Source organism: Homo sapiens, chromosome 16, assembly GCF_000001405.40.
Source record: "Homo sapiens chromosome 16, GRCh38.p14 Primary Assembly".
In the NCBI taxonomy this organism is placed as follows: domain Eukaryota; kingdom Metazoa; phylum Chordata; class Mammalia; order Primates; family Hominidae; genus Homo; species Homo sapiens.
The window spans coordinates 77,214,561-77,229,439 of NC_000016.10; the positions used below are offsets into that span (position 1 = coordinate 77,214,561).

The 14,879-nt window shown below is 43.4% G+C and overlaps 1 pseudogene, besides 2 other annotated features; it reads left to right on the forward strand.

Annotated features, from left to right (window-relative positions):
- On the forward strand, positions 5,834-6,704 carry VN2R10P (vomeronasal 2 receptor 10, pseudogene; annotated as a pseudogene).
- Positions 5,916-6,025: an enhancer, noted in NCBI's record as "active region_11151". NCBI's record gives its function as "activates an Ori minimal core promoter by ATAC-STARR-seq in GM12878 lymphoblastoid cells {active_cell/tissue: GM12878}" and the evidence as "EXISTENCE:reporter gene assay evidence [ECO:0000049][PMID:35858748]".
- Positions 11,770-11,939: an enhancer, noted in NCBI's record as "experimental_45200 CRE fragment used in MPRA reporter constructs". NCBI's record gives its function as "activates a minimal promoter by MPRAs in K562 erythroleukemia cells, with activity observed for both the introgressed and non-introgressed 16:77260312 variant alleles {active_cell/tissue: K562}" and the evidence as "EXISTENCE:reporter gene assay evidence [ECO:0000049][PMID:34662402]".

The following is a 14,879-nucleotide window of genomic DNA, read 5'->3' on the forward strand; positions in this document are numbered from 1 at the left end:
GGTTTCCCTGTTCACCAGCTGGATGACCTCAGGCAAATTGCTTAATGTCTCTAAAACGCAGTGACCAGCTGGGTGCTGTGGCTCACGCCTGTAATCCCAGCACTCTGGGAGGCTGAGGCGGGTGGATCACGAGGTCAGGAGTTCAAGACCAGCCTTGCCAAGATGGTGACACCCCTTGGTTTGGTGGTGGCAGGTGTCTGGAATCCTAGCTACTCAGGAGGCTGTGGCAGAGAATTGCTTGAACCCGGAAGGCGGAGGTTGCAGTGAGCCAAGATGGCGCCACTACACTCCAGCCTGGGCGACAGAGCGAGACTTTGGCTTTTGATTTGCCCTGTGTTCTCCTGACTCAACTGACCTTCCTGGCAGGGCTACTTCTCCTTTCATTGAAATAATTGACAGCTGCCTGGGAAGTCTTCACTCACTTCCTGTAACAGCTTTTCTCAGGGCTTGCATTCAATTACCATAATTCTCAAGCTTCTTGGCTTGTAGTTCAGGTTCAAATGTGAATGAGCCTGGGGGAGCTCAGTGTTGCCAAAAGGCGGAAGGACATTCTTTTTATTATTATTATTATTTTTATTTATTTATTTATTTATTTTTGAGACGGAGTCTCGCTCTGTCGCCCAGGCTGGAGTGCAGTGGCGCCATCTCGGCTCACTGCAAGCTCCGGCTCCCAGGTTCACGCCATTGTCCTGCCTCAGCCTCCAGAGTAGCTGGGACTACAGGTGCCCGCTACCACACCCGGCTAATGTTTTTCTGTATTTTTAGTAGAGACGGGGTTTTACCGTGTTATCCAGGATGGTCTCGATCTCCTGCCCTCGTGATCCGCCCGCCTCGGCCTCCCAGAATGCTGGGATTACAGGCGTGAGCAACCGCACCCGGCCAGGACATTCTTGAAAAAAGTAAGCCAGAAAGAAACCCACTGAAAAACAGAGGAGTCAGAGGAGGGGCCCGAAGAGATGCAAACATAGCACATCCTGAGTAGCAAGCTAGACAAGGCATGGAAGAGAGAGTGGCCAAAGTGACTGCAGTAGAATCTCCCGGAGGATAATAATATTACTACCTAATAGAGCACACTAGTTAGCAGAACAGAACCCAGGGCCAGACTGTGTTTGTTAGAATCCCAGCTCTGCTGCATACTAGCTGTGTAACTTCAGGTTACACAGTTAGGTTACTTAAATTCCCTTTTTTTTTTTTTTTTTGAGATGGAGTTTCATTCTTGTTGCCTAGGCTGGAGTGCAATGGCGAGATCACGGCTCACTGCAACCTCCACCTCCTGAGTTCAAGGGATTCTCCTGCCTCACCCTCCCGAGTCACTGGGATTACAGGCGCCCACCTCCACACCCAGCTAATTTTCGTATTTTTAGTAGTGACGGGGTTTCACCATGTTGGCCAGGCTGGTCTCAAACTCCTGACCTCAAGTGATCCACCCGCCTTGGCCTCCCAAAGTGCTGGGATTACAGGCGTGAGCCACCCTGACTGGCCGTTCATAAAGTTTTGAGGACATGTAGCATGTTACGTTTCAGAGAATCAAAGGCATCCACCATTTCTTTTTTGATCTCTCAATTTTGTGTTCATTTAGATTTCAGACAGCAATCAAAACATCAAGTACAGGTGAATACAATCCCAGGCCACCTTTTCCTGGGAACCTGGATATTGAGCTCTTACTTTTCTCCATTCTAGGATCTTGTTAAGCAGTGATGCTAACCAGTGAGTAGAACAGTGAGAGGTCCGTGCATATTCTATTTGCTGATCTACCAGCTGTTTTAAGGGACTGGTCAGTGGCAGAATTAACATATTTGCCATACCTACAAAATTCACAAGTACCTAGACTTCATTTTCCATTTTCCTACAAAACTCAAACTCTGTTTTTGTGACCTATTACTCACCGTAATCCTACCCAGCATCTTTCTCATTGGAATCTTGAGTAACATTTACCCAAAGATTACATTAGTTCCATTCTTCTTCCTTTCATTATCAAGTCATTATTAGATGGAGATGATTTGAATAGCCTAGGTGCCTGTTTTTTGTCTTGTAGTCCTTCCTTGGTGTTAACTCTGAAATTAATTTATCTCTTTTTTTATTTTTATTTATTTATTTTTTGAGATGGACTCTCACTCTGTCGCCCAGGCTAGAGTGCAGTGGCACAATCTCGGCTCCCTGCAACCTCCACCTCCCGGGTTCAAGCGATTCTCCTGTCTCAGCCACCCAAGTAGCTGGGACTACAGGTGCCCACCAACACGCCCGGCTAATTTTTGTAGTTTTAGTAGACACAGGGTTTCACCATATTGGCCAGGCTGGTCTCAAACTCCTGACTTCAAATGATCCACCCACCTTGGCCTCCCAAAGTGCTGGGATTATAGGCGTGAGTCACCATGCCCTGCTAAAATTAATTGATTTCTTCCAAGTGTGTGCAGTCATGTTTTACTTCTGTGATCAGACCTATTTAAGAGTTATAAAGATTCCTTCCAATTGTATCTTATGAAAGCCAGTAGGCATTTAATGACCTTCTTTTCTGGAGTCATTGTCTTTATATTTTGTGCCTCATTTTTGGAAAGCCTGTTTTACTTTCCGTGTGTCTTCTTATTTCTAAAGTCTTATTAAACCTACATTATCTAAAATGCCCATTACCTATAAATTTCTCTTCCACTCTGAGATTAAATATCTTTCTCAGTGGTTACCTTTATATTTTTAGAACATTTTATTGTTTAAAAATCACAGTCAAAGCTTCAAAAAACATACACCCCAAAATATCCCAATTTCAGTATCCTACTACCCAGAGGAGAGCACATGGCTGTTCTTCCCCTTCTGGTGCCCACAGCACTAGCGAGGACCCTGCCCTGAAGAGACCACTTGCCCACCCTCCTGCCCACCATATGTTAAGTCACCGTTTCTAATACATTTATTTATTTATTTATTTATTTAGTAAGATGGAGTCTCGCTCTGTTGCCTAGGCTGGAGTACAGTGGTGCAGTCTCGGCGCACCGCAAGCCCTGCCTCCTGGGTTCAAGCAATTCTGTAGCAGCGTCCCGAGGAGCTGGGATTACAGGCACCCACCATCCCATCCAGCTAATTTTTGTATTTTTAATAGAGACGGGGTTTCACCATGTTGGCCAGGCTGGTCTCAAACTCCTGACCTCAGGTGATCCACCCACCTCAGCCTCCAAAAGTGCTGGGATTATAGGTGTGAGCCACTGCTCCCGGGCCCTAATGCTTTTATAATTTAGTTTATATTTGAACTATTTGGAATTTATTTTGTGTCTGTACATAATCTGGAGAGAATTTACTGAATAGCACATGTATCCCCCCAACTGCAATGCCATCCTCGCCATATACCAAATAATCATGTCTATTTTGGTCAATTTCTGAACTGTTTATTCTATTCCTTTATCTAGTTACCTATTTATACACAAATACCAAACTTTTTATTATTATACCCTTAAATAATATTATGAAACTCACTTGGTGAGACCTCCTCTATATTTTCCTACTGTTTCAGAATTTTTCAAGGGTAGTTTCTTTCCTATGCATACTCTAGAATCATATTGTCTATTTCCAAAAAAAAAAAAAAAACAAAAAAACAAAAAACCTGACTGGGCGCAGTGGCTCACAGCTGTAATCCCAGCACTTTGGTGGGCAGAGGCAGGCAGACTATGAGGTCAGGAAATCAAGACCATCCTGACTAACATGGTGAAACCCTGTCTCTACTAAAAATACAAAAAATTAGCTGGATGTGGTGGCACAAGCCTGTAGTCCCAGCTACTAGGGAGGCTGAGGCAGGAGAATCACTTGAACCCAGGAGGCGGAGGTTGCAGTGAGCAGAGATCACGCCACTGCACTCTAGCCTTGTGGCAGTGTGAGACTCTGTTTCAAAAAAAATTAAACAGCAGCAACAACAACAAAAAACCCCTATTATTATTTGATATTTGTATTGAATGAAATATATACATTAACATGCAGGAAATTAGTATCATTATATTGAGCCTTCTAAAGGAGAAAAGAGTCTGTTTTATCTGTTTAGTTTTTTTTTTTTTTTTTTTTGAGATAGCGTTTCACTCTTGTTGCCTAGGCTGGAGCGCAATGGTGTGATCTCAGTTGACCACAACCTCCGCCTCCCGGGTTCAAGCAATTCTCCTGCCTCAGCCTCCTGGGTAGCTGGGATTACAGGCATGCATCACCATGCCCAGCTAATTTTGTATTTTTAGAAGAGATAGGGTTTCTCCATGTTAGTCGGGCTGTTCTCCAACTCCCGACCTCAGGTGATCCGCCTGCCTTGGCCTCCCAAAGTGCGGGGATTACAGGCGTTAGTCACCGCACCTGGCCTAATTTTTATTTTATGTGTTCTTCTCCTCTGTATATCTCTTTGAATTCTATTTTACCTGATAATAATGTTGCTACAGTAATTTTTTTTTTTTGAGACTGAGTCTCACTCTGTTGCCCAGGTTGGAGTGCAGTGGCACTATCTCGGCTCACTGCAACCTCTGCCTCCTGGGTTCAAGCAATTCTCCTGCCTCAGCCTCCCGAATTGCTGGGATTACAGGCACCTGCCACCATGCCCAGCTAATTTTTTGTATTTTTAGTAGAGATGGGGTTTCACCATGTTGGCCAGGCTGGTCTTGAACTCCTGACCTCAGGTGATCCACCCACCTCAGCCTCCCAAAGTGCTGGAATTACAGGCGTGAGCCACCACGCCCGGACAATAAATGTATTTTTAGGAATATTTTTCTTCGTATGTTTCTTTACTTGACTGTCTATTTAGGTATCTAATTTTTCAGGGTTTGTTTAATAAAACTATACTGTCATTGATAATTCATAGCCTAATGAGGAAGGCAACCCAGGACAAAGGGTTCAAAGACACAGGTACATACTAGAGTGTGGGGAGGCATGCAGGCACATCCTAATGCAGGTAATGTTGACTACGTTGTTAAAGGCAAGTAGGAATTAGTCAAGCAAAGAAGAGAGCAAAAGAAACTCCCTGTTGAAGAAGGTCATGGCAAAGCGAGAAGGCATGAGCACTGTGAGTATGATACATAAATCTCTACATCAGAATCTTTTGATCCAGTGTTTAGTTTATGACAAAAGATAAGGCCAGAAACCTATGTACAAACAAGATGATTAAGACCTTTCCTGCCACATCAAGCTGATGGAATTCTACCTCGAAATGTGGAAGGGATACACTAAGAAATATTTAGCTATTAGAACCTGAGGGCCTCTTTGATACCTGTTAAAAGTTGAACAGGTCCCCATTCTTAATAAGGCATCTGGTTCAGTGTAAATTCTTAGAAAATAATTGTCATTTGTGTAAATAATCCAGGAGAAGGCAGAGGTCAGGAAATGTTTTTCTTAGCGGGCCAAATAGTAAATATTTTAGACTTTGCAAGCCAAGAGGTGAAATTGAAAGTATGTAAATACTTGTATAACCATTTAAAATGCAACCATCTAAAAGTATTAAAACATTCATAGATTATAAGCCCTATAAAATTACTAATGGCTAGATTTGACCTGTAGGCTATAGTTTGTGGACTCTTGGCCTAGAGAATGGATATTTAAATTTTTAAGGGAGTATAATGCTTTCATTATGAAAGAAAATGGAAAATAATTCGTTGGCATGTGGAGAAATGAACAATGAGAGAAAATGTTATTTTGGGAAATAAAACCAAGGAGAGAATTGGCATGTTAGTTTGAAATTATTGCTTCTGTAACATGCTAAAAAGCATGACATTTGAGTATAGCACTGAGATGGACAAGGTGCCCTACAAGGCCAAAAATGACTTTTTTGTTTCTGGGAATCAGTAAGGATTTATGAATCTTGAACAAAAAACCATTGCTTTGTTTTTCAGATACTATTCAGTATAAGAAGTGTCCAGATGATCAATATCAGAATAGTCAGAGAATTTACTGTCTTCCAAAGGATGTGAACTTCTTGGCTTTTGAAGGCCCTTTGGGGATGTCTCTGGCCTGCACAGCCCTGCCTCTCTGTCCTTACTGCAGTGGTCCTTGGGGTATTTGTGAAGCAGCAGGAAATCCCCTCGGTTAAAGCCAGTACATGGGCTTTCAGCTGCACCCTGCTGAAAGTCTGGCCTCCGTCACACTGTGCTTCCTCTGCTCTGCCCTATGCATTGGCCACCCCCACACAGCTACGTGGTGACTCCAACAAATAGCATTTGGAGTTGTGTTTACTATGGCTATTTCTATCATTCTGACCAAAACCATCACTGTAGTTCTGGCTCTGAAGGCCAGAATGCCAGGGAGAATAAGATGGTGATTGGTATCAGGATCTCCTAATTTTGCCCTTTTTATATTCTCCCTAATCCAAGTGGAATCTGTCTCCTGATCTGTCAGCTCGGGCTGAGAAACTTTCCTCCCTTCATTGACACAGACACACTCTCTAAGCTTGGATCTGTAGTTCTCACACGCAGTGAGGTTTCAGCACTGTCTTCTACCATGTCCTAGGATACCTGGGCTCCTTGACCCTGGGGAGCTTTACCTTGGCTTTCCTGGCCATGGGTTTGCCTGACACCTTCAATAAGTCAAGTTCTTGATGTTCAGCATGCTGGTGTTCTGCAGTCACCTCCCTCCTTGCCGACCACAGCATCAAGGGGAAGGTCCTGGAAGCCATGGGGTTCTTCTTCATCTTAGCTTTCAGTGCTGAGCTACTTGGCTGCATCTTTGCCCCCATATATTACGTTACTCTTATGAGATATGAATACCTTCCAAGGTCTGAAGATTAAAATAGGTTCTGGAAGCAGTAAGAATTCCAGAGTTTTATTTCAAAAAAGGGGGAAAAAAAAAGAGGCGACATCCTGAATTTAAAAATTCACTATTATCACAATCAGATGCAAGTTAATAATTGAATCAAACTCACTACCTCCGAAGATAAAGTCAGTCTCATGTCTTTAAAGGAATTAAGAGCAATACCACTCTCAGTTATCCTGTTTCATAGTGTGAATGTTATGGACATTTCCCATCCATGCCTTTTTCTTCAATGTATGTAATCTTTCATGCGGCATTTCTCTTCCTTTTTATGTAATAACAACCTACATAACCCAGTGTCTTCAGCCAACAATCTTGCCTAATTTTCCAGTTTGGAGATTGTTTGCCTTCACGGGCATTCCTTTCCCTTCCCCTGTAAGCTCTATTGCCTAAGATTCCAGCCATCTGGGTTGTGAGTGGAGTCATCCAGAAGGAAGCAGTGTTAGAATAATGGTGGCTTTTTCTCAGTGGCTCTACCTCCTCCTAGACAAATCTATTCTGCTTGCAGCCTCCATCGAGTGATCCCAGGCGCTGGGCACTGTTAACTCTGACTCCCTGATAATTTCTCTCTCTCTCTCTTTTTTTTTTTTTTTTTTTGAGATGGAGTCTCCCAGTCACTCAGGCTAGATTGCAGTGGCATGATCTTGGCTCACTGCAACCTCTGCCTCCCAGGTTCTAGTGATTCTCCTGCCTCAGCCTCCCAAGGAGCTGGGATTACAGATGTCTGCCACCAGGCCCAGCTAATTTTTGTATTTTCTTTTTTAGTAGAGACAGGGTTTCACCATGTTCTCCAGGCTGGTCTCAAACTCCTGACCTCAAGTGGTCTGCCCACCTCGGCCTCCCAATGATAATCTCTTTTTAACTGCTACTCACATGTTTGGTTCTCAGATCCTCCAGCACCTGCAATTCCTTGCTGTATTAGTCCAGGTTCTCCATAGGAAAAGAACCAAAAAGATACACACAGACACACACATATATGGAGAATTATTATGGGAATTGGCTCATGTGACTATGGTGGCCGAGAGGTCCCACGATATACCATTTGCAAGCTGGAGAACCAGGAAAGTCAGGGTGTAATTCAGTCCAAGTTGGAAGACCTGAGAAAGAGAGGAGCCAGTGGTATAACTCCCACTCTGAGACTGAAGGAGGCACTGGCTTAAGTCCCTGGAGTCTGAAGGCCTGAGAACCAGGAGCTCTGATGTCTGAGGGCAAGAAAAGATGGATGTCCCAGCTCAAAAAGACAGTCAATTTACCTTTCTTCTGGCTTTTTGTCTTATTTAGATGGGCCCTCAATAGATGAGGTGATGCTCCGCAACACCGGTGTGGGTGAGTCTTCTTCCCTTAGTGGACTGATTCAAATGCTACTCTCTTCCAGAAACAGCCTCACAGACACAACCAGAAGTAATATTTTTCTATCTCTCTGGCTGTCTCCTATCCCAGTCAAGTTGACACATTAAAATTAACAATCACACCTGCAATTATATTCCCTCTGCTTTAAATAAATTCTATCTTTTTATCTGATTAGACCCTGACTGACAATCTTGCTACCAGGAGAAGTGCCAGGAAACACATCTTCCTATGGGATTCTGGTTGGGGTTGGCCTGCTTGTGCATGAACACAATCATGATCTTATTGCAGGTGGAAAATGGAATACTGATTCTAGCAGATAGGGTCAGCGCCTACCTGTACTCACTTGTCTTACACCTCATTGCACGCCAGGCCGGCTTCCATCTGCCAGGACATAAATTCCTTTCCATGACATTTTTCCATGACATGGATGCTGAAGTATGCCTGGCCTATTTGTCTGGTGGGCTAGAAGTGTTGCAGAATGAATTTCTGCCTCCCTAAGCCTCAGAACAGTCTTCATCTATTGACCGATAGGATTGGGTGTATATGCCAGTTAACAATGTATTGCCTCTCAGCTCCAAATTCACCTTTACCACCTGCCTTGTGAAAATGGATCAGGCCCTTGAAACAGTTTCCTTTGCCAGCTGACACGATGTTAAGCTTTGCTCAGTAGAGGGCGCCAGGGAGACGTTTCTGCTTTGGTTCTGGTCTTCCGGCTAGGTAGGTTTCTGCAGGGTGGACGACTTCTCCAGCGCAGGTTCCTGTAGCGCATGGCAGCCAGCAGCGTCCCAAGACACCATCTTTGGTAGTTTTGTAGCAGTGACTCTAGTGAGACACCTCTCCATGAACAACGTTCCCCAACACCTCAGAAGATGGATTTCTGGCAAGGTTTAGAGGGCAGATTTCCAGAAAGTTCTACAAAGGCAGCACTACAGCAACTTCTTTGCCCTTCAGTGAGTCACAGCCATGACCTGTCCAACTAGGACCTGACCTCACCCTGTGGGTAGAGGGTCTCCCTTGGACGCTCCAGCTCAGCCCTGCAGGCAGTAGCTGCTGCGTAGGTCGGCTCTTTCTGTATGCTTCAGAGTTTTCTTTGCTTTTTCCTAGTGAACCCCTCACTGCCCCAATATCCCATTTTAGTTAATAATGATGTATTTTAAACTTTATCTGTTCAAATTATTGCATAGTTTTTCTCCCTTGATAGGACTCTTACTGTGCATAAATTCTCCAGCTCCTTTGGCGTTTGGCTGGAGTAAGTTTGAGGCATGCTTTTATTTATTTATTTATTTATTTATTTATTTATTTATTTATTGAGATGGAGTCTCGCTCTGTCACCCAGGCCGGAGTGCACTTGTGTGATCTCAGCTCACTGCAACCTCCGCCTCCCGAGTTCAAGTGATTCCCCTGCCTCAGCCTCCTGAGTAGCCGGGATTACAGGTGTGTGCCACCATGCCCGGCTAATTTTTGTATTTTTAGTAGAGACAGGGGTCTCACCATGTTGGCCAGGCTGGTCTCGAGCTCCTGACCTCAAGTGATCCGCCCACCTTGGCCTGCCAAAGTGCTGGGATTACAGGCGTGAGTCATCGTGCTCAGCCAGGCGTGCTTTTTTAATACTGGCTCCAGGGTATCCCCAGTGGCTTGTTAAAAAAATACATCATGGGCTGCTTTTCCTTTCTTGCTGTGGGAATGTAAAAGGACCTGATGAGGATGAAAGACACGACTTGTTGACAGCCCTGGGAGTCTAGAAGGAGGTGGAAGTCAGAAATGTTGCAGTTGTTCAGAACGAATTCCTAGTACTGTAACTAGGCCAGTGCTGGCATGGAAATAGAGATTACCTACACACCCCAAAGGGGGCTTAGGCCTGCATGCACCTGGTGATTGAATGTGAGATCGAGAGGGCTTTCCAGCAATAGAAATATACACCTTCCTATTGCTCCAAGATGCCAAGCAGAAAGTCAACATACATTTGAATAGGTTCTATCAAAAGAACAATTCCTTCTCTGATGTGGATCATGAAGTAGCAATTATTCTATCTCTATTCCCATGCAAGCTAAGCGTATGCATAGAGATGACCATTTCTGGGTTATGTCTATGTCATAAACTTGTTTAATGCAGTTGCTGCCTTGGCATCCGTTGTTAGGCCTGACATAAGTTGTTTGAAGTCCAGTTGTACCCTGTCACCTTTGGTCTAGTTAAAACTTCCTCTCCCCATGTGGCTGTTTGCAATATAGCCCACTTGTTCCTCATCCCACTGAACCCAAACCCAACATATCCCACAGCTGCTGACTGTGATAAAACCCAGTGGCCAACACCAGAGTCGTGTAGGTAAGTTCCCTTTCTCACACGTATTTTCCTTAAACTAGCAAATTCACAACCCCCTGTGGAAAGCCTAAGTGAGAACACTCCTGGAGCCCCTAGACCTTGATAAAGGCGTGCTCCTGCTGGTCATCTCTCATGTCATGCATTTCGTTTTCCCATTTTCCTTCTGTCTCTCCTGACTGGCACACCTGAACCTTAACTAGGACATAAGGAGAATAGGAAACCAAAATGCAAGGTCCAGGGGCTCCAGGAGTGTTATCACTTACAACACGCTCTCCTAGAGAGTGGCTATCTTGGCAGAAATAAACTGGACACAGATCAGACAAGAGCCACAAAGCGTGTCTGCTGGATTTCCTTTGAGAGAGACAGCTGGCTATGGATCAGACTCAGGCATTAGGCTGTCAATCAGGATAAAGAAGCATCATGTGAAAGACACACTGTAAACACCTGTGAACATCTCCCCTGGAGCCCTAGCAGGGCCAAGCTTTATCGCCACTCTCCAGAGAGTCCTGAAGAGCAAATTAGAGGAAAATCTCAACAGTACAGTTATTCATCTGAAGAAAGGCTAGAGAACAAAAGTAATAAGCATCAGAAACACACTTGTTGGTATGGTTTGGCTTTGTGTCCCCACCCAAATCTCATCTCAAATTATAATCCCCATGTGTCAGGATAGGAACTTGGTGGAGGGAGGTCGTTGGATCATGGGGGCAGTTTCCCCCTTGCTGTTAGTGTGACAGTGAGGGAGTTCTCACGAGATCTGATGGTTTACAAGGTGCAGTTTCCCCTTCTCTCTTTCTCTCTCCTGCTGCTGCCATGTAAGAAGTGCCTTGCTTCCCCCTTCGTCTCCCACCATGATTGTAAGTTTCCTGAGGCACTCCCAGCCATGCAGAAAGGTGAGTCAATTAAACCTCTTCATTATAAATTATTCAGTCTCAGGTATTTATAGCAGTGTGAAAATGGACTAATACACTTGTGTTAGTAACTGCAAGCTTTGGAACCCCTGTGTATCTGCTGTCACCCACTGATTCTCAAACTGCACTACATGCTACAATCAATAGCGGTGCTACAAAGTGCCCGGAATCCCTTTCAGAAGGTATAATTCACTCAGTTTGGGATAATGCCCGAGTATATTTATTTTAAAAATTTTCAGTTGGTTATGTGCAGTTGGAGTTGCAAACCATTTATCCAGACATAAAAGGATACCTATTGACTAAGATAGTGCTTCTGGAAATGTGATCCCTGGAATAACAGCATCAGCATCACCTGGGAACTTATTAGAGATGCAAATTATTGGGTCCCACCCCAGATCTATTGAATTGGAAACTGGGGCAGAGCCCAGCAATTTGGGTTTAACAAGCCTGCCAGGTGATTCTAATGCCCAGGTTTGAGAATTCTTGAACTATCACAAGGAAGAGTTCCTGAATTCTTCCACTTTTTGTGATGGAATAAAAATAAAAATACCCTTTGGAGTCAGGAATTTTGGGTTCAAACCTGGAATCTTCCTCACAATTAAAAGTGTGACCCAGGACAAATTATTTTGCTCTCTAATCTTCAATTACATCACTTGTAAATTAGAAAGTCAGATAATCCCAGTTTTAATAATGTTGTTGTGAAGATAAAATAAGATGTCACTTTCTCTCCCTTCCACATTAAGGGGATTATGAAGTCTGTGCTTTGATGGGAATGATAGGCATATCTATGTGTTCACCCTGGATCCCAGCTAAGAATACTAAATAGTCTGTCAATGTAATACTTTTTATCAGTGGCTTAGATATTTTCCCAAAGTGTGGGACAACAATCACTTGTGATCTATGTGGCACTGGTGCTCAATAGCATTGAATCACATGGTAGAATGTTTTTCTCCGTTCAAAAATTTCCAAAGATTGTTTAAATACATTTTTTAAAAACATCTTATTTTAGTTTAAAGTGCCTGAAACACATCTCTAAACTTCTAATGTCCCCTTTAAAATAAAGCCTTTGACAAGCAAATATATTTTTCTAGACTTTAATACATTTGTTTACCTTCTTTTGCAGACAAGTAGTACTAGGTTTTCATATATGATAATACAAATGTTTTAAAAATAAATTTAACAATGAGTTTACCGAAATAAACGCTTAAAACACACTACAAAGTTGTGACCAATGAAGGCATGCATCAATGTCACTGTTTTCCATACTTCAACGTGTGCAACAGAAATCCCAGCCTTAAATAGTTCATAGGGAGAGAGGACTGGTATACGGAAACTCTGAAAACAGAGGTCAGAGTCAACATTCTTATGGGATTAGTGTGAATAATATATATGATGCCGAACTACCAGGGTTAGGGTATAAACAATTTAGCGGAGGTTCCTGTGAAACAGATCTTGAGGGTTTAGATTACATTGTGCAAGAATGTTTGATAACTCTTTAAAACTGGTTTTGCACCTTAAACCATTGATAGAACTCTAGTATGCAGAACAAGGAGATCATGGTTGTGCCAACTTGTCCCTGCTCAGGGCATTTTATAAAACTATAATAAACTCAGTTTGAGTTGAATATTAACAAAATAAAGCCCATTCAGATGGAGGAAGGGGCTAGTAGGATAGAGGTTTTGAAGTGTAGATTACGAGAGCTAAGGCTGAAGGATTTAAGAATATTTATTCTGAAGAAGAGATACCTGGGTACTAAATATCATCTTTGTATATCTGAGCATATATCATGGGATAAAGGAACCAGAGAGGCAAATGAGGACTTGCTAACAGATACCACTGTCCAGCAGTAGAATCAGCAGCCACGTTGGATGGGGCAAGCTCCATAACCAGAGGCAATCCAACAGGGAAAGCAGCAGGTAACGAGCGTGCCAGAGCCAGTATGGATGATGGTTGGGATGTTAAGGTAAAGGCCTGATTGAAGTTCATGTGTGTGTTGGGCGGGGGGGAGTGTAGAAAGGGAATTCATATATGGAAAGTACCTGCTGTGTTACAGACTCTTACTAACACTTTGAGTCATCCTCTTGCCCATGAGGGGGCTGAGGCTCTGAGAAGTTTTGCAGCCTTCTGTAGTTCTCATAGCTAATACTGCATTTAAACTCAAGTCTATTGATCTTCACAACCATGCCACGCTTTATTCTGAACTCTGTTCCCTTCCAGCTCTGCATTGTTGTTGCTTCCTCATGGGTTGTAACCCAGATAGAAGCCACAAAAGTATATTTCATGAATGGGTACTTTTTACGGTCTCTGGCTAAAGTCACCAGCAGCCAGTGTGGGAGAGAGAGCTTGAAGTCCCTGCTACCAAACCCAATGCCAAGTCAAGCCCCCCTGGATACCTGATAGAGAACATCTGTACCGAAATGCTGTCAGTCAGGGTGAATGTTGCACTGCACCACCTGGATCCCACTTTGGGAACAGAGGGCTTATTCCTGCAGCTGCTAGCAGTACTGCTGCTGCTGGAAAGCTGCCCTCAGTGTCAGTCCCCTTCAAGAACCCCCTCAGCAAGGGTCAACTCCATTAAAGTTATGCCTCTTCTTGGGGGAGGCCACATGCAATAACCATTTGGCTTAGAAGTGTAAAAAAGCCCACGGGTCATGAAGGCCTGACCCTCGTGGCTGAACATGGGGTGGCTTGGAATGGCCAACCCATCTTAAAACTCTCCATGAGGGTGGCTAATGCTTCCATTGAAATTTCTCCCTCTGCTCAATCCTGCTTCCTTTCTTTCCCTTTCTTTCTCTTCCATGGGAGTTGATCCCAAGATCAGTCCCTAATCAACATTCAGAATGCTGATCTCCATTTCAGAGTCAGCTCCAGCAGTCAGCTGCAAAATCTCAGCTCAGCATCTTCCCATGTGGCTTGTCTTCCGTTTCAATTGTTCAAATAAATAAGAGGTCTGGCTACTGAACTGTACTCATTCATTTATTCTTTCATTCAACAAATACTTAACCACCAGCAACGTGGCAGTGAGTGCACTAGGCACTACTAGAACTACTGTAATGAGGAAGGATTCTGTTCTAGCCCTCAATGAGCTAACAGGGAAGAAAGACCATCAGCAAATAATTACATAAAGAATGATGTGATGACTTTATGAGAAGGGTTTTGAAGAACTGCAGGGCACTACCAGTGAGATCACAGGAGTCTAGTCTAATTTAGAGAAATCAGTAAGATCCTCTGAACATGGTGACATTTAATCTGAGACCTAAAGACTAAAGGAGGTGGGTATATGGGAGACGGGGTAATTCTAAACAGAATTAACAGCATTAGGCAGAAAGGATATTTGTATATTTGAGAGAAAGAAAAGCCTGATTGGCAACCACACAGTGAAAGAAACAAATGAAAATGAGGCTTGCACAGATACTATAGGGACTTATAAAATTTTTTTGGTACAATTATAAGCATGAAATAGTTTTATGATGTGACTTGGACTGATGTTGTTTCACATTATTTAATTCTACCAAGAATTGTGTGCATTGTTTGCCATTTCCCCACCACCCT